Source organism: Homo sapiens, chromosome 17 (genome assembly GCF_000001405.40).
Source record: "Homo sapiens chromosome 17, GRCh38.p14 Primary Assembly".
Classification (NCBI taxonomy): Eukaryota; Metazoa; Chordata; class Mammalia; order Primates; family Hominidae; genus Homo; species Homo sapiens.
In genome coordinates, this window is record NC_000017.11 from 39,978,379 (window position 1) to 39,999,725 (window position 21,347).

Consider the following 21,347-nt stretch of genomic DNA (forward strand, 5'->3'; position numbering starts at 1 on the left):
CCTCTTTTAAAGCAGTATCAGGACCGGACACCGTAGCTCACGCCTGTAATCCCAGCACTTTGGGAGGCTAATGTGGGCAGATCGCTTGAATCCAGGAGTTCAAGACCAGCCTGGGCAACAGGGCGAAACCCTATCTCTACAAAATATACCAAAAATTAGCCAGGCATGGTGGCATGTGTCTGTGGTCCCAGCTACTCGGGAGGCTGAGGTTAGAGGATCACTTGAGCCTGGGAGGCTGAGGCTGCAGTTAGCCAAGATAGCACCACTGCACTCCAGCTTGGGTGATGGAGCGAGATCCTGTCTCAAAAAATAAAAATAATTTTTAAAAAAGTAGTTCTATGAGTGCAGTACATGTCTGTAATCCCAGCACTTTGCAAGGCCGAGGCAGGAGGATCACCTGAGGTCAGGAGTTCAAGACCAGCCTAATCAACATAGTGAAGCCCTGTCTCTACTAAAAATTAAAAAAAAAAAAATTAAAAATTAGCTGGACATGGTGGCTCGCACCTGTAGTCCCAGCTACTCAGGAGAAGGAGGCAGGAGAATCGCTTGAACCCCAGAGGGGGAGGTTGCAGTGAGCCAAGATCACGACACTGTACTCCCTAGCCTGGCCAACAGAACGAGATTCCGTTTAAAAAAAAAAAAAAGTTTTATGAGTGGAAGAATTTCTCTAAGGATTTTGGTCCGTGGAGTCAGACTCTCCCCCAGTGTCTTAGTCACCCCCTGCCCAGCCTGGTTCCCTCATCCACCAAGAATTCATGACCAACTGCCAGAAGCTTTGTGTTATGCCGCCAGCCTCCCTGATCCTGAGCACCTTCCAAAGCCTCACTCTATTGCTCATGGATATACTGGGTTGTTATCTGCTGACTTGGTTGTTTTCTCCTTGTGATGTAAACTTAATAGAGAGATGAGCTAACACCCTAACTATCTAGAAGAGTAACTCCTTTGATTGTTAAGGATGAACATAACTCATCTGTTTTCTTCCTTACCATTCTCGCCCACCTTCAGTTGCAGATATGGTGTTATGAAGAGGTTCTAATGAGTTTATTCCAATGATGATTCAAAAGTCCTGTTATCCACCCCCCAGCCCTGGAGGGTGAGAGGACAGTTGAGGAGGAACTGGTCAAGGCATGTTCCCTAAAACTAGAGCACATATCTTTCCAGTTAGCGAGTGGCTGTTTAACGCAAGGAACATCCTGCAATCCTATGAAAGAGGATGCAAAAGATATGCAGGATACCCTTTATATATGCAAAGGAGGAGGTCAAAACATATTTCCTGCCTTCTAGGTCCTTACAACAGGGCTAGATTGTCTTGTAGGGTCCGTGAAAGGTCTAAAACTCAGGACTTCCACTTATGGGAGAGAGAAAAGTTTCAAGGTAGGGAGAGAGTTTTTGTTGTGTGTTCTAAGAAATTGGGAGCTATATCCTTCACCTTGTTTCACCTTCCCTGCAGAACCAGTGGGGCAGTCCTTTGAAAAATAAGTGGGTAGGGTTTCTTGTCCAATTTGCTTCCCCTTAGGTACACCACTAAGTAAACCATCATTCTCTCCTTAGGCACACCATTATTCTGTTCCCCATTTCACAATGTCTGTCTGGATGTATAAAAGCCCTCTCAATGGGCTCCCTAAAGCGTCTGCCAGTAGGGGCTCCCACCCTCTTTCCTCAACACTCCCAATCCACCGCAGCCCAGAGCACAGTGTCTGCTTATCTAACCATCTGACTCCCCCGTATACTACATTCTTGAGCTGTTTTTCACCCCCCTATTTGCTAACCGTGGGCCGTACATAGGGTGGACCCCTATATTTTGTTAAACTGGAGTGATTCTACGCAAATGCACGCTCCTACCTATCGGCACTCCCAGCCTGCAGAAATTGTATGCCTTATGTTCAGCACTAAACTCAAATCTAACCAAGGAAGTCCGGATCCCATAGGGTTCTTCCTACTCTCCAGTTCGGTTTATTTTAAGGCCAACAGCCCTAGCTTCACGTCCCTCCTTCACAGCCTTCTTTCCTTCCCTCCTGCCGGATGCGCCCGGCAGCCGTTGAGCACAAGCCCAGCGGATCTGGAAGGAGACCCCGCCGCGACCGGGGAAAATTGAGCGAACTTGGGCGCAAAACCCGCCCGGCAACTCGTGACGTCATCTCGTCCCGCGCTCGGATAGGCTGTACCCACTCCACGCTGGTTGAGGCGCTCTTAAAGTCCTTTGTAACCCAGATTGGAGCCTGAGGGGACCTCTCGTGGACGCCCACAGAAATGCACTCGAGAGGAACATAAAAGCATCACACTTAAGCGCTCGAAAGAAAGCCCCACGAACCCATAAAGGCTCCTCCCCGCTCCTTCCTCGAAGCTCCTCCTTCATCCTGCACCTCGGCTGTGGATTTATTTCCCCTTTGTTGACTCGGCCATCGGCCTGCCGGGCCTGGCGTTTCCCAGAAGGCCCAGCGCCGGGAAGGGGTTTGCAGCTGCTCCGTCATCGTGCGGCCCGACGCTATCTCGCGCTCGTGTGCAGGCCCGGCTCGGCTCCTGGTCCCCGGTGCGAGGGTTAACGCGAGGCCCCGGCCTCGGTCCCCGGACTAGGCCGTGACCCCGGGTGCCATGAAGCAGGAGGGCTCGGCGCGGCGCCGCGGCGCGGACAAGGCGAAACCGCCGCCCGGCGGAGGAGAACAAGAACCCCCACCGCCGCCGGCCCCCCAGGATGTGGAGATGAAAGAGGAGGCAGCGACGGGTGGCGGGTCGACGGGGGAGGCAGACGGCAAGACGGCGGCGGCAGCGGCTGAGCACTCCCAGCGAGAGCTGGACACAGTCACCTTGGAGGGTACGGCAGCCCAGGCCGGGAACGTGCCGCGATCGCGGGTGACAGCGACCCCTGTGATTTGGCTTCTTGCTGGGAAGCCACAGCAGCCTCCACCACCCTCAGTTCTTTGGGATCACCCCCAGATACCTGCTCCCACTGCCCCGACACTCCCGACTCCAGGCCCAATGACTGAACCTTCTCTCCAGGCTGGGAACCACTCCCCTCCCATCCCCTCCATCCCCATATCTGGGGTTGCATCTATATCTAGGTCCCAGTGGGCCTGGGGACTCCCTCTTTTAAGTCCTCCCCTCTGACCTATTCCGTTTATATCCCACCCGACTGATTTTAGCGCCTCCAATATATGACTGATTGTTCCCGCTGGAAACCAGTGTTTGTGTCTGTGTGTAAACAGGGCCAGGATGACCTAGAATATTGACTCCTGAGTTTTAAAACTGTACAGCAGATTTTTGTTGTCCTAGCTGCCTTTAGCACACTCCCCCGAATGAACCATTTCGACCTAGTATCTTGTTTCCTACTTCTCTAACTGAAGTGTCCCAACAGTCCCCTTGCTGTCTCCTCCCTTCAGGTCCTTACTGCCCCTCTGTTTCTAAAGGGTTTAAGTACATACACACTTAAAACTTTTCGGGTGTCATCTTTGTTTGGTTTTGTAATACTCAACCTTTGGCCTAAACTCCTATATACCGGTGTCTCCTATTTCTTTTCTCCGAGGTTCCTGTTTCGAGTGTCTGTAGTCCTCTTGTTCCTCCAAGTTCATGTTTTACTTTTCCCACTTACAGCGTCCTGTTTCCATTTGAAGTGGGCAAAGTGAGAGCTTCCCACTGTGATCCTGGTGCCATTTTCCTGGTTCTGGATCAAGTGGGACCAGACTACTTACTAGGTTTTCTTTTCACTAAAATGCGTGAGAAACTAGCTCAAAAACATTGAGATAAGCAAAGTTATCCTCCTAGGTGGTGCTTTTGAGGATGTGATGGTGTTGACTACATCAGCTCTTACTGTAAAGTTGAGCAACAGGATCGATATTTAATAGAGATCCTTTTACCTAAAGTAGTGGCAGCAATGTCAAAGGTGCCACTCAGCATTGCCTACTGGGTGTGTTTATTACAGGCACTTCATTTTCTTCTTGTAAAGTAATTCATATTCATTGCAGAAATTGTGGAATGTATGAGAAGTTAAAAGCAGGGGATAAAAAACATGGTTAACATTTTTTCTTGTGAATTTTTGAGCTGTTCTCCTATAATTGAGAGCAAGTTATGTATACAGTTTGTATCAAGGCATAACTAAATATAAATTTTGAATTTTATGTGTTTTCATTAACATTCGTAAACATAATCAGCATTCAATTTATTCCAGAAACATTTATTGAATACCCAATATAATGGTTAAGAGTACAAGTTCTGGAATTAGTTCCCTCATCTGTATAAATACAAGTAATAGTACAGTACTTTATTGGGTTGTTGTGAACATTAAAATGCTTAAAACTGTGCCTAGCACATAAATATCAGCTGTTATTATTTATATCATTAGTGTGGCCCAGATACCCTGTGCTAATCGGTGAATATACAGAAGTGCCTAAGAAACTACTCATTGATTGCATTCCCTTATTGCTTTGCATTTAAACTGTTTCTAGTTTCTTGCTATCATAAATAGCTTTGAAGCAATCATCTTTGTGCCCAACTTAAAAAATCTACTTTTCTAATTATTTCTTCAGTACAGATTCCCACCAAAACCTATATGCCTGAGTTTAAAAGGCTGAACATTTTAAAGGTTTTTGATAGTTATTGTCCAGAAAAACTGTGCTGATTTACATTATACCAGGAGAAATGTAGTTTTCACTGTACTCTATAATTTTTTTTTTTTTTTGAGACGGAGTCTCGCTCTGTTGCCCAGGCTGGAGTGCAATGGCGCGATCTCGGCTCACTGCAACCTCTGCCTCCCAAGTTCAAGCGATTCTCCTGCCTCAGCTTCCCGAGTAGCTGGGATTACGGTCACCCACCACCACGCCCGGCTAATTTTTTTATTTTTAGTAGAGACTGGGTTTCACCATGTTGGCCAGGCTGGTCTCCAACTGCTACCCTTAATGATCCGCCCTCCTCAGCCTCCCAAAGTACTGGGATTACAGGCGTGAGCCACTGTGCCCCACCTATAATTTTTTTAATGTTACAAATTTGGTAGTTTAAAAATGTTTCCATTTGCAATTACTCAAATACTAATGGAATATAATTTTTGTCTGTTAGCTATTTTTCCTCTTTGTATGTTAGTTCGTCTCCATTTTTGTTTTGAAATTGTGGCAATATAATCATTATACCATTATATCTCTTAACCATTTATACAAGCTCTTTATAGAATAAAAATATGAATCTTTGATCACATTTGTTGAAAATATTTTTCTTTTGTATACACAGTTATCTAAAAGGGTTTTTTTAAATGAAGTCAAGCCCATTAATCTTTTGTGCGTATGTGATTTCTCCCATTGTTCACATTTAGAAAGTCTTTTCCATTAAGATCTGATAAATCTGGACTCCAGGTTTCTGTAGTTAATTGGTTTTTCTTTTCTTCCTCTGTCATCCTCTACCCCATCCTGCACCCCCACTGTATGTTTTTCTTGCCACTTGGTTATGTCTTAAAATCAGTGTGTGGAATCTGTAAATATTATGGACCCCATTAGGGCAGAAAAGGTGAGTGGTCGCATTTTGCCCCTCTGTGAGAGGCTCCTTAGAACTCCTTGCCTGGCCGGCACGGTGGCTCACGCCTATAATCCCAGCACTTTGGGAGGCCAAGGCGGGCAGATCACGAGGTCAGGAGATCGAGACCATCCTGGCTAACACGGTGAAACCCCGTCTCTACTAAAAATACAAAAAATTTAGCCAGGCGTGGTGGCGGGTGCCTGTAGTCCCAGCTACTCGGGAGGCTGAGGCAGGAGAATGGTGTGAACCCAGCAGGCAGAGCTTGCAGTGAGCCGAGATCACACCACTGCACTCCGGCCTGGGCGACAGAGTGAGACTCCGTCTCAAAAAAAAAAAAAAAAAAAAAAAGAACTCCTTGCCTGGAGTGGTGGGGGACTAGGAGTGAAAGTGACATCATTTTCTTCTCTGCTCTTCTTCAGACATCAAGGAGCACGTGAAACAGCTAGAGAAAGCGGTTTCAGGCAAGGAGCCGAGATTCGTGCTGCGGGCCCTGCGGATGCTGCCTTCCACATCACGCCGCCTCAACCACTATGTTCTGTATAAGGCTGTGCAGGGCTTCTTCACTTCAAATAATGCCACTCGAGACTTTTTGCTCCCCTTCCTGGAAGAGGTGAGTGAGTCAGGCCAACTTAAAGGGTGCAGGCCTGGCCTCAGATCCCCAGGAACAGCATTGTTTTCCATCCTAAAGTCCCATCTTATTACCTGTGGTAGCATGAGGAGAGAAGCCAAAGCAGTCCATTTGAATACTCATCTGCACAGTGACAAGGGAACCGTCCACTGCCCTGTAGTGTCATTCTTCAAAGTCAGGGGATCAGGACCCTCCCAGCCAAACTCATTTCCCACTACCCTGCAACCTGTACCCCCTACTCCAGTTGAGGTTGCGTTGGGTGACCTCTCTGTTGTTCTAGGAGAGAGAAGGTGCTGCTGCCTCTTTCTTCTGAAGCTTCACCATGGAGGAGGTAGAGAACAGTGGTTAGGAGGAGCACAGCTGTCAGGGCCAGGCACAGTGGCTCACACCTGTCTTCCCAGCACTTTGGGAGGCTGAGGCGGGCACAGTGGCTAACATCGTCATCCCAGCACTTTGGGAGGCTGAGGCGAGCAGATCGTTTGAGTCCAGCCTGGATTCAAACAATCTGCCCGCCCAGGAGTTTGAGACCAGCCTGGGCGACATGGTGAGACCCTGTCTCTGCAAAAAGTACAAAAATTAGCCAGGCATGGTGGCACCTGCCTGTAGTCCCAGCTACTCGGGAGGCTGAGGCAGGAGGATCACTTGAATGCAGGAGGTGGAGATTGCAGTGAACCAAGATTGCACCACTGCACTCTAGCCTAGGTGACAGGGTGACCCCCCTACCTCAAAACAAAACAAAAAAAACCCCACAGATTTTAGAGGTAGAGTTGAATTTGAATCCAAACCCTGACAGTTAGTACCTGTGGGACTTGGGCGAGTGACTTCATTTTGCTGTGCCTCGTTTTCTTCATTTGTTAAACGTGATGAACGGATTGGGAAGCGGGCAGTATAAAGCTCCTAGAGCAGTGCCTGGTACGTAGTGAATGCAGACGAAGTCAGTTTGGTGGTGGTGGTGGCGCCTCCGTGCCAGGAGAGACCTCTCCTTATCCTCTGTAGCTGTAAACTCTCCCTCATGATTCATGGCATGGGCCAGGTCTCAGCCTTCTCCAATTCCACTGACCTTCCAGCACCTGCATTTCCTTAAAATCCTGTATACTCAGTCAGCTCCGTGGATGGGGAAACTCAGAACATCCCTGGAGGCAGGGCAGTGAAGAGTTTCTTGTCTGGGAAAGGGGAAAAGCGTACTGTTCCCCCAACTCCACCTTGAATATTTTCTGACCTTCACATCGCTAAACTCACGAAACGTGATTATTTTGGGGGTGACTGTAACACATTATTTTTTCCAGTGTCAGTGACAACATAGGAAAATATGTTTTGTTTATATGTTGACTTTCCCTAAATTTTCTTTGTTCCCACAAGAAACCATTTTTTGGTCTCATTATTCTGATTTCATCTCTAGAATTATTTCGTTCAGCCCTGTCCAGTAGTATTTGCAGTGGATCCAGGTGTGGTGGTTTAATGTCTCCACTTAGGTTGTAGCCTCTTTGAAGGTTCCTTACATCGTCCTTTGTCTCCATTATGTTGTGTAAAGAAATTTTTTGTTCTCCTGTAACACTTTATTGTGTTTATTAATATTATATTGCCAGCCTCCTTGACTTGTTTTGTTTTTTTGAGATGGGGTCTTGCTCTGTCACCCAGGCTGAAGCACGGTGGCACACTTATGGCCCAGTGCAGGCTCAGACTCCTGGTATCAAGCAGTCCTCCTGCCTCAGCCTCCTGAGTAGCTGGGAATACAGGTGCATGCCACCATGCCTGGCTAGTTCTTTTTTATTTTTTGAGAGATGGGGTCTCACTGTGTTGCCCAGACTGGTCTCAAATTCCTGGCCTCAAGCATTCTCCTGCCTCAGCCTTCCAGGTAGCTGGCACTACCGGCGTGAGCCACCACACCCAGCTCCTCCTTGATTTCTTTGGGAAAGACTGTAATCTTTATTTTTTTATCCCTAGCACCTAACAAAATCTTGGCACATGGTAGACACTCAATAAATATGTTGAAATACATAGTGGATGCTCAATAAATTCTTGGTTACTTGATCAGACTGAGCTTTTCCATGGTAACTTCTGTCCTCTCCTAGCCCATGGACACAGAGGCTGATTTACAGTTCCGTCCCCGCACGGGAAAAGCTGCGTCGACACCCCTCCTGCCTGAAGTGGAAGCCTATCTCCAACTCCTCGTGGTCATCTTCATGATGAACAGCAAGCGCTACAAAGAGGTATCCAGGATGCAGTGAGAGCGATTCATAAGCCCCAAGTGATGCAAGGGGTTTGGCGGGGAGATGGTCCCTGGTGAAGAAATGGAAATAATCATTGATTCTTAAGAACTGTCCCCCACACTCTTTCCCCATAGAGGTATGCGTTTGATCCCACATCCCAGGAGAACCCACTCTTGCTCTGGGCACTGTGGGACAGGGCTTGCAGTGGTCATGCTGTACCGGTCTGTGGGGGATACCAGCGTAGTACATTCTTGGGGAAAAGTAGGGGCATTTGGAGACAGAAAGACCTGGGTTCCAATCCCAGCCATACCCTAGGCAAATTAATTTCTCCCAGCTATATGTAAGATGGGGATAATAGTGCCTACCTTACAAGATGGTTAGCGTTACATAAAATAATTTGTTTAGAAATACTTAGCGCAATGATCTGCATATAGTAAGCTTTCGTGATATTTTCATAAATGGTAGCTGTTATTATGGACTAATAGCTCCATTTGCAAACTGCACTTCTACCACTCCCCCAGCTAGGGCCAGCTTCTTTGTTCATCATAGCCACTGTCACAGGAGCACACTCAGGAAGTAAGTCGCACTCCTTAATTCCCTGGTTTGTTTCCTTTCCTTACCACACTATTTTTGGTTGTTGTTTGGTTGGGGGTTTTTTTGAGATTGGGTCTTGCTTTGTTGCCCATGCTGGAGGGCAGTGGTGTGATCACAGTTCACTTGACCTCCCCGGCTTAAGTGATCCTTCCACCTCAGCTTCTTGGGTAGCTGGGACTACAGGCATGTGCCACCACGCCCAGCTAATCTTTGCATTTTTTTTGTAGAGACAGGATTTCACCTTCTTGCCAAGCTGGTCTCCAACCCCTGGGCTCAAGTGATTTCCTGGGCTCAGCCTCCCAAAGTGTTAGGGTTACAGGCATGAGCCACTGCGCCTGGCCCACTGTTTTGTTTTTACTGGAGATGGGGTCTTGCTATGTTAACCAAGCTGGTCTTGAACTCCTGGGCTCAGGTAGTCCTCCCGCCTCAGCCTCTCATGTAGCTGGGATTACAGGCACGTGCCACTGTACTTGGCTGTTTGTTTTTGAGATATAATTCACCCCTTTAAAGTGTACTACAGGCCAGGTATGGTGGCTCACGCCTGTAATCCCAGCACCTTGGGAGGCCAAGGCAGGCAGATCATGAGGTCAGACAATCAAGACCATCCTGGCCAACATGGTGAAACCCTGTCTTTACTAAAAATACAAAAAATTAGCCGGGCGTGGTGGTGTGTGCCTGTAGACCCAGCTACTCAGAAGGCTGAGGCAGGGGAATTGCTTGAACCAGGGAGGCGGAGGTTGTGGTGAGCCGGGATTGTGCCACTGCACTCCAGCCTGGTGACAGAGCGAGACTCCGTCAAACAAATAAATAAAGTATACTACAATTGAGTGGGTTTTAGTATATTCCCAAAGTTGTATATCCACCCCTAATTCCAGAACATTTTCATCACCCCACAAAGAAACACCATACGTATTAGTAGTCACTTTTCATTTTCCCCTTACCCAGCCCCTGGCCGCTACTAATCTGCCCTGTCTCTATTGAGGATTTACTTACTCTGGACATTTCATGTAAATGGAATTACACACCGTGTGCCCTTGGTTTCTGGCTTTTTTCACTTAGCATCATGTTTTCAAGGTTGACCCATGTTGTAGTGTGTGTCAGTACTTCCTTCCTTTTTAAGGCTGAGTAATATTCCCTCGTGTGGATGTGCCACATTTTGTTTATCTGTTCATCAGCTGACGGGCACCTGGGTTGTTTCTACTCTTTGGTTATGAATAATGCTTCTGTGAACATTCGTGTACATGCTTTTATGTGAGCCTAAGTTTCCAGTTCTCTTGGCTTGCATACCTAGGATAGGAATTGCTGGCTCAAATGACAACTCCATGTTTATCCTTTTGAGGAACTGCCACTTGATTCTCTTTTGGCTTCCTCCCCAGGCACAGAAGATCTCTGATGATCTGATGCAGAAGATCAGTACTCAGAACCGCCGGGCCCTAGACCTTGTAGCCGCAAAGTGTTACTATTATCACGCCCGGGTCTATGAGTTCCTGGACAAGCTGGATGTGGTGCGCAGGTACAGGCAGCCAAGCATCTCACTTGGGGTCCGTGGGGTCAGAGACTTGGTCAGTCACAAGCACACAGCTGTGGATCTGCAGAGGGCGAAGAACCTGTAGATGTAAGCAGGGAAGAGGGGCAGTGGTTCCCATGCCCTGCGCCACGTGAGGGGTGTGGGAGAGAGACTGGTGCTAGATGAAGAAGTGGGTCACTGCTGGGCTGTAAAGAACTGTCCCCAGGTTCTTCCCTTCACCCCACATCAAGGTAGGACTGAGGGTGGGTTAGGGGTGGAGGGACAGGCTAGAAAACATTTTACTTCTTTGCTCAAAACCTGCAGTGGCTTCCCGTCTCAAGGAAAGACAAAGTCCTTACAATACCTCATAAGGCCTGACGTGATCTGCTCCATTTTGACCTCCCAGACTTCACCTCCTCCTGCTCCTCAGCCCCACTGGCCTGCCTTTCCTCTGGTGTGCCCGGCACACTCTTCTTCAGAGCCTTTGCACTGGCTGCCCCTCTGTCCAGAACACTCTTCTCTCCGCCTCCTTCAAGCCTTCCCTTAACTGATCCCTTCTCAGTGAGTCCTGCCTTGGCCAAGCTATTGAAAAGTTCAACTCATCTTTCTCACGTCCTGCATTCCCCATTGCAGTTCCCCTGGCCTCACAGGCCTCCCATCTTCTGTCACACTGCAGGCTGTGCTTCTTTCTCATGACCATTGCCTCCCCCACTGCACTGCATTCCCTAAGGGCAGGGTTTTGTCCCTTTGTCGCACCCAGAATAGTGCTGTACACCTTAGGCACTCGATAGTTAACAGTATTCAGCAAATAACCAGAAAAGCAATTTGTATAACTTTTTTAAGGAATTGAGAAAGAGCGAAGAGTTAAAGGCAGTTCAGAGAGTTGTGATTTGAAGGCTTTGACATCTTTCTTTCCTTCTTGAAGCTTCTTGCATGCTCGGCTCCGGACAGCTACGCTTCGGCATGACGCAGACGGGCAGGCCACCCTGTTGAACCTCCTGCTGCGGAATTACCTACACTACAGCTTGTACGACCAGGCTGAGAAGCTGGTGTCCAAGTCTGTGTTCCCAGAGCAGGCCAACAACAATGAGTGGGCCAGGTACCTCTACTACACAGGTGAGCAGAGGGGCCCAACCCATAAATCAGAAGGTGTCTCAGGCCTGCCTGGTGCAAATTTTCCAAGGGGTGGTGCATAAGAGGCCCATTTGGCACCCTGGCTTGTCGGTGGGGAGTTGGATGACCCTACTCTGTTGACCAACTCTCCTCTCCTCCACTCCCAGGGCGAATCAAAGCCATCCAGCTGGAGTACTCAGAGGCCCGGAGAACGATGACCAACGCCCTTCGCAAGGCCCCTCAGCACACAGCTGTCGGCTTCAAACAGACGGTGAGCCACAACTACCATCATCCCTTTGCCTCTTTTTTTTTTTTTTTTTTAAATGGTGTCTTGCTATGTTACCTGGGCTGGTCTTGAACTCCTGGGTTCAAGAAGTCCTCCCACCTCAGCTTCCCAAAGTGCTGGGATCACAGGTATGAGCCACCATGCCTGGCCCCTTTGCCTGTTACTCATTCCCTACCACTTCAGTTCTCTTCTCTATGCTAGGGGCTAGGAAAGGCATCCTTAACCTTCCTATCCAGAAGGACTTCAACTTTTATTATTATTTTTTGTGTGTGTGGAGACAGGCATATCACTGTTGCTCAGGTGAGAACTCCTGGGCTCAAGCAATCCTTCGGCCTCTGCCTCCCTAAGTGCTGAGATTGCAGGTGCGAGCTGCCATGTCTGCAAAAGGTTGCTTCACATCTATTTGTGGGTGTCAATGAAGCAGACACTACCTGCACCTCTGGCAGTGGATATTCAGAGTGTTTCTGGCAGATAGGTTTAGAATATTCCTGATTCCCCAGCGCTCCTGACAGTCATTCCAGGCTTGGACCTAGATTGTGTTGATACAAACCCCAGGTTTTTATCTAGTCCTTCATGTTCACATTTGGAAACTGTATTGTCTGTGGCCAAGGAACCCAGAAAATCTCTGCAAGGCTGAGTGGCTCAAGTAAACATAAAACTTGGCCACTTAAGAGCTGTCAGTCAGCAAGTATTTAAGCATCAACCTTGGTATTAGGCACTGTAAGGGATAGGAAGGGAGGATAATAAGTGATCTTTCTTTCTTTTCTTTCGTTTTTTGTTTTCTGAGACAGAGTCTCCCTCTGTCACTCAGGCTGGAGTGCAATGGCACGATCTTTTCTCACTGCAACCTCTGCCTCCCGAGTTCAAGTGATTCTCCTGCCTCAGCTTCCTCAGTAGCTGGGCAGGCGCCTGCCACCACATCCAACTAATTTTTTTGTTTGTTTTTTTGGTTCTTTTTTTTGAAACGGAGTCTTGCTCTGTCTCCCAGGCTGGAGACAGAGGTGCCATCTTGGCTCACTGCAACCCCTGTCTTTGGGGTTCAAGGGATTCTCCTGCCTCAGCCTCCCGAGTAACTGGGATTACAGGCGCCTGCCACCACGCCCAGCTAATTTTTTGTATTTTTAGTAGAGATGGGGTTTCACCATGTTGGCCAGGCTGGTCTCGAACTCCTGACCTCAAGTGATCCACCCACCTCAGCCTCCCAAAGTCCTGGGATTACAGGCGTGAGCCACCGCTCCAGGCCAGGTATTTCTTATTATTAGAGTATTTCAAAGAGATAAAGAATGTTGTGTCAGAAAGCTTGAGGGTGTATGTGAAGTCACAGAGCCCAGTAGCCAGGATGTAGACCCAGTCTTCCCAAATTCAAACCTCTGCTCCTACCTTCACACAACATCCACCTCCATGGTGTCTTGACAGGGAACGGGAGACGTGTGTTGATTAGGTCAATGTAGTAGGAGATTCATTTTATTTCTGTTCAGAAGTTCAGAGAAAGTCAGATTTGTTTTTGATCAAATAATGAAAGAGAAAGGGTCTTAAAGAAAAAGTTGGCTAGGTACAGGGCTCACACCTGTAATCCTAGCACTTTGGGAGGCTGTGGCAAGAGGATTGCTTGAGACCAACCTGAGCAACATATGGAGACACCGCCTCTGCAAAAATTAAAAACCTAGCTGGGCGTGATGGCATGCACCTGTAGTCCCAGCTACTTGGGAGGCTGAGGTGCAAGGATCACTTGGGCCCAGGAAGTCGAGGCTGCAGTGAGCCATGATCGTGCCACTGCACTGCAGCCTGGGCGACAGAGCAAGACTCTGTCTCAAAAAAAAACAAACATTAAAATTGAACTGGTCTTTGAAAGATGGGTAGGATTTTCACAAGGAGTAAAGGCTTTTCAGACACACAGGGTGCGTGAGCAAAATGTTAGATTGCTTACAATATGAGAGACACTAAAGTTTCTTTTGAAAATCACTAAAAATACTAGTAATTAACATATATAAAATGTGTCATGTACCATGAGAGAGGCTTTCAGGCATTTAAATCTCAGTGGCAGGAAGGCGTAGAGAGCTGGAAGAGAGGTCTCGGGCTGTTGGTGAGGGAGCGCAGGGAGAGAGAGGGCGGGAGTGAAGGCATGTTTGGGAGAAGGCCTGCAACCAGCCCTCTGCCCTCTGCCCTCACACACCTTTGCCGTACCCCTGTCACCACCCAGCTTACAGAATCACCTGGGGCTCTGATGAAGCTGTAGATTCCGATTCAGAGAGTCTGTGTTCCTAACAGGCCTTGGGTGATGCCAGTGCTGCTGGTGGCACAGAGCGCTCTGAGGAGGGCGGTGCTGGCTCATCCTGTTCAAAGCGGAGGTCAGCTAGCATTCATTCCTGCAGCCACCTTGTCTCTTGTAAACTTGAATGTCTCTCTCCGCCCATTTTCACCCTCCCTGTCTTTACTTAACACCAGCTTCACTACCTGTGTTTTCCATCACACTCCTTCCTCTCTCTTCTAGCCTTGGCCCATCACCTGTTTGCTTCAGTCTCCGGGAAGAAAACCCCCAGCCCTGCTGCTTCCTCTCTCAGGCGGCCGTTCCTGTCTCCCCTGGCTCCCTCCCCAACAGTGCACTGGCCAGCCCCTTCCCTCCAGTGTTCTCTCTGCTCCTTCTCACCACCTGGGCCTCAGCAGAGCACTCTGAGAGCTTCTCTGTCGATAGTAAAACCCTCATTCTCTCCTTGAGTGACCTTGTTTGCTTTCCCAGCTTCAGCGCTCGCCTGCATGATGCTCTTCAGCCTGTACATTACTAACTCCGTTACTCTGCTGGCACTGCCACCGCAAGGTCCCACAGACTTGGCGGCTTAAACAACCGAAATTGATTTCATCACAATTCTGGAGGCTCTAAGTCCAACAGCAAAGTGTGACACGATTGGTTTCTTCTGAGGGCCTCTCTCGTCTGCTTGTCGATGGCCGTCTCCTGGTGTTTTCACATGGTCTTCCCTCTGTGCGTGTCTGTGTCCTGCTTTTGTCTTAGAAGGACAATAGTCATGTAGGATTAGGGTCCACCCATATGACCTCACTTTACCATAATTACCTCTTTAAAGGCCCTGTGTCCAAATAGAGTCCCATTCTGAGGTACTGGGGTTTAGGTCTCTAACATGAACTTGAGGGGGATGCAGTTTAGCCCATAACACTAACTCTGACCCCTCTCACGAGCATCAGGCCTGCAGATCCAGCTCCCCCTCCCACTCCCCATGTCTCTCTCTACAGCGTGTCCCAAAGAGATCCCTCCTGGCCCCCTTACCATTCCTTCCTCCTGCTTTCCCGATCCAGATCAGGGCCTTGGGATCATCTCTGACTCTCCCCCATCCTCCTTCCCATCACTTGGTCGTCTGTTGAATTGTCTGCACATCTTCTGTGTTTGCCTGTTCCTTCATATTGCCAGTGCCATGGTTTGAGCCACTAACATTCCCAGACACTTCTGCCTGGTCATCTTCCTCTCCAGCAGCCCAGCTTACATTCACTTGCCTTACTAAGCAGAGCTCCAGCTCTGTCCTTCCCTTGCCTGGGAAGCTTCCATTGCTCCCCACTGCTGTAGGGTATCATAACGGTCTTGTGAGGTAGACAGGCTAGGTATTGTTATTGTTATTTGGTAGTTTTAGAGATGAGGAACTAAGGACCCAGTTGCTCAGTGTTTCCTAGCTAGTGAATAGAGACTAGACACCAAGTGTTCTACGTGCAGACTTTATACTGCTCAGCCTGGCACACAAAATGGCAATGGCATAGTCCCCAGACTGCGGTCCCAACTGTCTCTTTCCTAACAGCTCCCCAGGCACCCACACTTTTCTGCCTCTTTTTCAATCTGTACCCTTGACCCTCCTCCTTTTTCTGCTTTGTCAGACTCCTTAAGGCACTTCATAAATTAACCATTTCCAGGGATTTCCCCTCACACATGAGTTATTCCAGTGGACAGGGCAGCCTCATGGGTGCCTGTGGAGGGTGAAGGGTCTGCCTGGCCGTAGGTGTGATCACACACTCCCGTTGTAACCCCTGTCTCCTGTGACACTTGCTGCCCCACGATTTAGCTGCTTTGTGTTCCGTGCCTCCTGTTTGCTGGTGAACTCCTGAGTTGGGGGGCGTCATTCCCTCCACTGTAGTTCTTCCGCGATGCTGACTCCACCCACGGTCAGCACCACTCGGAAATACTTCACAGTCCTGTAGAGGAAGACAGGTCCAGGTTTCCAGTTACCCTTCTATGTCTGGATACTCTGCTCATTCACTGAAGCCAGGCCCCTTCCTGCACTTATGCCTCTACCCAGATAATGAGTTCTACCCACTGATGACCTCCTCTCCTCTAGTAACAGTCCGCCTCCCTAATGAGCATCTCTGGCTGACACACGTTCCGTTCTCCAGGCCTGTGAGCCCTGGTCCCTCGCTGTTGCTGAGCCACAGCACCCGCCCTTCTGGCCTCACTTTAGAGCACTGTCATTTCAGAGCAGACTACGCGCGGGGTGGCCAGGTGAAATGCAGCTGACGGCTCTGCGACCAAATGTGACCAAAGGGCCACATTCCCAGCACCCGGCTCCAAAGGCAGAGCTTGGATTCTATGCCCAGCACAGGTTTTCAGGGCTTCCTCCTCTCTCTGGGCCTAAACAGTGATCCCTTTCCCTGTTTCCCACTACATCTGGCAGAATTTAGGCCACATTTCATTTTCTTCTTCCGCCCATGGGGCTCCCTGCCCACTGTGTTCCCCTGTCACTCTGTCCAGGTGCACAAGCTTCTCATCGTGGTGGAGCTGTTGCTGGGGGAGATCCCTGACCGGCTGCAGTTCCGCCAGCCCTCCCTCAAGCGCTCACTCATGCCCTATTTCCTTCTGACTCAAGGTAAGGCTGGCTTCCCCACCCCAGAGCCCACTAGGCCCCCTTCAGTGGGGCCTCTTACATGCCTGTGCCTATTTGCATCATCCAATCTACTCCTGTTCTGCCTGCAGCTGTCAGGACAGGAAACCTAGCCAAGTTCAACCAGGTCCTGGATCAGTTTGGGGAGAAGTTTCAAGCAGATGGGACCTACACCCTAATTATCCGGCTGCGGCACAACGTGATTAAGACAGGTGTGGATCAGGATCTGAGGGGCTGTTGGAGGAGCAGAAGCCAGGCCAGGGCAAACCTAGTGGGTATCCTTGGGCAAGTGAAGGGTCTGTGTCCACTCTGCCCACCCCATCGCTCCTTCCTCTCCCAGGTGTACGCATGATCAGCCTCTCCTATTCCCGAATCTCCTTGGCTGACATCGCCCAGAAGCTGCAGTTGGATAGCCCCGAAGATGCAGAGTTCATTGTTGCCAAGGTGGGGCTGGTTCAGGAACCACAGTGACCAGGTTGTCACTTTCCTGCCAATCTCAGGAGGCAGGAGTGGGAGGAGTTTGGCCAAGGAGGGGAATAGGTAAAGCAATGGCATAGTCATTTCAGGGCGTGCCCGTCATTTGCAGTGAAGCCAAGAAGTTGCCAGAGAGAGCATGGATGTGCATGTGAGTGTGTGAGTGTAGGTGTGTGCACATGTTGAGTTTATGATAGTGCCTGTGAGTGTGAGAATATAAGGAGGGCAGAGGAATGGGATGGAACAAGATGTTCTCTGACTTAGAAGATGGGCGTGCTGGGCCAGGCGCAGTGGCTCATGCCTGTAATCCCAGCACTTTGGGAGGCTGACATGGGCAGATCACCTGAGGTCAGGAGTTTGAGACAAGCCTGGCCAACTTGGCGAAACCCCATCTCTACTGAAAATACAAAAATTAGCCAGGCCTGGTGGCAGGTTCCTGTAATCCCAGCTACTTGGGAGGCTGAGGCAGGAGAATCGCTTGAACCCGGGAGGTAAAGGTTGCAGTGAGCTGAGATCGCACCACCGCACTCTCCTGCCTGGGTGACAGAGCGAGACTCCATCTCAAAAAAAAAAAAAAAGAAGAAGCTGGGTGTGCTGGTGAACTTTCCTCTTTGGGGGCCTGCAGGCCATCCGGGATGGTGTCATTGAGGCCAGCATCAACCACGAGAAGGGCTATGTCCAATCCAAGGAGATGATTGACATCTATTCCACCCGAGAGCCCCAGCTAGCCTTCCACCAGCGCATCTCCTTCTGCCTAGATATCCACAACATGTCTGTCAAGGTGAGAAGCCCGTGGCTGCAGAGTCACGCCTGGCAGCAGCACACCCCTCCCTCCACACTCATGGATTCCTCAGAGAAGACTGGCTTAATTTGTGGCCCACGTCCCAGCCAATCTCTGTAAAATCACTGAGCTGCAGCACAGGGGGCCCAGAATGGGGAGGGGACTTGGCCATAGTTCCATAGCCAGTTGCCCTCTCCTATTGCGTTTAAGGGATGATGTGGTCACCAGGGAGGACCAGGCAGGGATTCAGAGGGCGGGGTTCTACATTTGGTTCCAAATTTGAGGCATTTAACTTCTCAAAGCTCTGTTTCTCCATCTCTGAAGCTGATAGGGAGGTGTTACCTGTCTTGCTTGCTTCACAGGGTTGGTAAGATTAAAAGAAGTCCCTGTATTGAGGCACTTAGCGAAGTCTAAATTGTAAAAAAGATGGCGCTGGTATCTAGCTCCACAAAAGGGTGAGCCCTTATCCTCAGTTAAGCACTGAGTTTGGCGCTGTTACTATTTGCTTGCCATGTTTTTTTCTGGTCTCCTCCGAGGAAACTAGGATATTGCTGCCTTGCTTAAAATCTGGCTAAGCCCTACTCCACGTGACATGCAAGGCCCTTTGTGACCTGGTCCCTTAGGTCAAGCCTCCCCTCCCACTCCTGCCCCACCACCCAGCAGCCAGCCCACTGGGTGCAGGCCAGGCCCCTCCCACATGGAATCCTCCACCGGGAAGGCCTCTCCCCGTTGCCACATCCACTGTGTTCCTCCTTTTCCTCCTCCCTGCCCAGTCAAGAGAGTTGGTCGTTTATTCCTCTTTTTTCAGCATTTCCCACAGGGCACTGTAATAATTCCTTTGATGCCTAGCCCCCCACTAGACTAACTGGAGAGGGGCCCGCCGCTTCCTGCCTGGTGTCTAGCTCACAGAGGGGACGCAGGGAGTGCAGGTTGCGTGAGTGCCTCACCTGCTTCCTTCCCTCGCTCATCTCCTCTCTTTGCTGTGCCCCAGGCCATGAGGTTTCCTCCCAAATCGTACAACAAGGACTTGGAGTCTGCAGAGGTAAGCTCTCTGCTTTCTGGGTGAGACCGAAAGGTCAAACTTCCACACAGAAGGGGAGTCGGGCGAGTGTCTGGAAGGGCTGAGCTGCTCTGAAGCTTTGGCCTCACTTGCCTCTCTCCCCAGGAACGGCGTGAGCGAGAACAGCAGGACTTGGAGTTTGCCAAGGAGATGGCAGAAGATGATGATGACAGCTTCCCTTGAGCTGGGGGGCTGGGGAGGGGTAGGGGGAATGGGGACAGGCTCTTTCCCCCTTGGGGGTCCCCTGCCCAGGGCACTGTCCCCATTTTCCCACACACAGCTCATATGCTGCATTCGTGCAGGGGGTGGGGGTGCTGGGAGCCAGCCACCCTGACCTCCCCCAGGGCTCCTCCCCAGCCGGTGACTTACTGTACAGCAGGCAGGAGGGTGGGCAGGCAACCTCCCCGGGCAGGGTCCTGGCCAGCAGTGTGGGAGCAGGAGGGGAAGGATAGTTCTGTGTACTCCTTTAGGGAGTGGGGGACTAGAACTGGGATGTCTTGGCTTGTATGTTTTTTGAAGCTTCGATTATGATTTTTAAACAATAAAAAGTTCTCCACAGTGCTTTGTGCATCAGTTACTATACTTCACTGCAGTATTGGCAGGCTCAGATTTTGGGTTTTTTGGCCTTAGAGTACTAGCCCCAGGTGTGTAATCTGAGGGCGATGGGTCTGCAGATGGGGAGGTGCCCAGGGGAGGATGAAGGGACCCTGACCTGGGGTCGGGGGCCTAGGTTTACTCTCTTTTCGTACTTGTGTGGCTTTGGTAAGGTCTTGTTAGGAAAGGTGTACCATGTGTCCATCACCAGCTGCAGACCTTCATCTCCCAATACACCTCATGGTGCTTCACGGTTATTGCAGTTTTTACAAATTGAAGGTTTGGCCAGGCATGGTGGCTCATGCCTGTAATCCCAACACTTTGGGAGGCTAAGGTGGGCGGATCACTAAAGGTCAGGAGTTTGAGACCAGCCTGGCCAACATGGCAAAACCCCGTCTCTACTAAAAATAAAAAAATCAGCTGGGCATGGAGGCAGGCGCCTGTAATCCCAGCTACTTGGGAGGCTGAAGCAGGAGAATTGCTTGAACCCGGGAGGTGGAGCATGCAGTGAGCCAAGATCTCGCCACTGCACTCCAGCCTGGGCAACAGAGTGAGACTGTGTCTCAAAAGAAAAAGAAAAGGACAAATTGAAGGTTTCTGGCAACACTGCATCAAGCAAATCTGTCGGTGCCATTTTCCCAACAGCATGTGCTCACTTAGCGTCTCTGGGTCACATTTTGGTAAATCCTCTCGATATCTCAAACTTTTTCATTATATCTGTTATGGTGATGTGTGATCGGTGATCTTTGATGTTACTATTGTCATTGTTGGGGCACCACAAATTGCACCCATATAGGATGGTGAACTTAGCCGGGCACGGTGGCTCGCGCTTGTAATCCCAGCACTTTGGCAGGCCGAGGCAGGTGGATCACCTGAGGTCAGGAGTTCAGGACCAGCTTGGACAACATGGGGAAACCCCGTCTCTACTAAAAATACAAAAAACAGCCGGGTGTGGTGGCAGGCGCCTGTAATCCCAGCTACTTGGGAGACTGAGGCAGGAGAATTGCTTGAACCCAGGAGGCGGAGGTTCCAGTGAGCCAAGATCGTGCCATTGCACTCCAGCCTGGGTGACACAGTGAGACATTGTCAAAAAAAAAAAAAAGATGGTGAACTTAATAAATGTCGAGTGTGTTCTCACTGCTCACACTGCTCACTCCATTCCCTGTCTCTCTCCCTCTTCTTGAGTCTCTCCATGCCCTGAGACACAAAATAATATTGAAATTAGGCCTGTTAGTAACCCTACAATGGCCTCTTAAGTGTTCCAGTGAGAGAAAGAGTCATTGGCCAGGCCTGGTGACTCACGCCTGTTATCCCAGCACTTTGGGAGGCCAAGGCTGGTGGACCCCTTGAGCTCAGGAGTTGGAGATCAGCCTGGGCAACACAATGAAACCTTATCGCTACAAAAAATATAAAAATTAGCTGGGCATGTGGCACGCACCTGTAGTCCCAGCTACTAGGAAGCCTGAGGTGGAAGGAGCCCTTGAGCCTGGGAGGTGAAGGCAGAGGCTGCAGTGACCTGAGATCCTGCCACTGCACTCCCACCTGGGCGACAGTGAGACCCTGTCTCAAAACAAGAAAACAGAAAAAGGGAGAAAGAATCACACATCTCTCACTTTCAATCAAAAGGTCAAAATGATTATGCTTAGTGAGGAAGGCATGTTGAAAGCTGAGAGAGGCCAAAAGTCAGGTCTCCTGCACCAAACAGGTAGCCAAGTTGTGAAGGGGGAGTTCTT

At 49.6% G+C, this 21,347-nt stretch overlaps 1 protein-coding gene and 1 long non-coding RNA gene across 2 annotated transcripts, besides 7 other annotated features; one reads left to right on the top strand and one right to left on the bottom strand.

Moving 5' to 3' along the window:
* Nucleotides 239–1,438: an enhancer, noted in NCBI's record as "P300/CBP strongly-dependent group 1 enhancer chr17:38134870-38136069 (GRCh37/hg19 assembly coordinates)". NCBI's record gives its function as "activates an origin of replication core promoter dependent on BRD2, BRD4, P300/CBP, MED14 and CDK7 cofactors, with strong dependence on P300/CBP, by STARR-seq in HCT116 cells {active_cell/tissue: HCT116}" and the evidence as "EXISTENCE:reporter gene assay evidence [ECO:0000049][PMID:35650434]".
* Nucleotides 1,860–2,039: an enhancer, noted in NCBI's record as "active region_12120". NCBI's record gives its function as "activates an Ori minimal core promoter by ATAC-STARR-seq in GM12878 lymphoblastoid cells {active_cell/tissue: GM12878}" and the evidence as "EXISTENCE:reporter gene assay evidence [ECO:0000049][PMID:35858748]".
* Nucleotides 2,260–2,539: an enhancer, noted in NCBI's record as "active region_12121". NCBI's record gives its function as "activates an Ori minimal core promoter by ATAC-STARR-seq in GM12878 lymphoblastoid cells {active_cell/tissue: GM12878}" and the evidence as "EXISTENCE:reporter gene assay evidence [ECO:0000049][PMID:35858748]".
* Nucleotides 2,260–3,317: a biological region, named in NCBI's record as "NANOG-H3K27ac-H3K4me1 hESC enhancer GRCh37_chr17:38136971-38137948".
* Nucleotides 2,340–3,317: an enhancer, noted in NCBI's record as "NANOG-H3K27ac-H3K4me1 hESC enhancer chr17:38136971-38137948 (GRCh37/hg19 assembly coordinates)". NCBI's record gives its function as "activates a minimal SCP1, AML or CMV promoter by ChIP-STARR-seq in naive and primed H9 embryonic stem cells {active_cell/tissue: H9 hESC(naive and primed)}" and the evidence as "EXISTENCE:reporter gene assay evidence [ECO:0000049][PMID:30033119]".
* PSMD3 (proteasome 26S subunit, non-ATPase 3) lies at nt 2,429–19,581 on the top strand. The gene is made up of 12 exons (NM_002809.4): nt 2,429–2,812; nt 5,916–6,106; nt 8,197–8,334; nt 10,305–10,441; nt 11,361–11,551; nt 11,716–11,819; nt 16,576–16,690; nt 16,798–16,917; nt 17,046–17,149; nt 17,805–17,960; nt 18,952–19,002; nt 19,126–19,581. The coding sequence occupies exons 1-12, from the start codon at nt 2,593–2,595 to the stop codon at nt 19,201–19,203; spliced, it is 1,605 nt and encodes a 534-aa protein (NP_002800.2). The 5' UTR covers nt 2,429–2,592; the 3' UTR covers nt 19,204–19,581.
* Nucleotides 2,720–2,769: a silencer, noted in NCBI's record as "silent region_8470". NCBI's record gives its function as "represses an Ori minimal core promoter by ATAC-STARR-seq in GM12878 lymphoblastoid cells {active_cell/tissue: GM12878}" and the evidence as "EXISTENCE:reporter gene assay evidence [ECO:0000049][PMID:35858748]".
* LOC124904000 (uncharacterized) lies at nt 8,320–16,569 on the bottom strand. The gene is made up of 3 exons (XR_007065751.1): nt 13,215–16,569; nt 10,216–10,517; nt 8,320–8,404 (listed from the first exon to the last, which is right to left on the bottom strand). It is a non-coding gene; the product is annotated as an uncharacterized LOC124904000 (long non-coding RNA).
* Nucleotides 13,879–14,056: a silencer, noted in NCBI's record as "fragment chr17:38148510-38148687 (GRCh37/hg19 assembly coordinates)". NCBI's record gives its function as "represses an EF-1alpha promoter that drives an FKBP-Casp9 reporter gene in an ReSE screen in HepG2 liver carcinoma cells {active_cell/tissue: HepG2}" and the evidence as "EXISTENCE:reporter gene assay evidence [ECO:0000049][PMID:32094911]".
* Nucleotides 19,582–21,347: the final 1,766 nt, after the last annotated feature.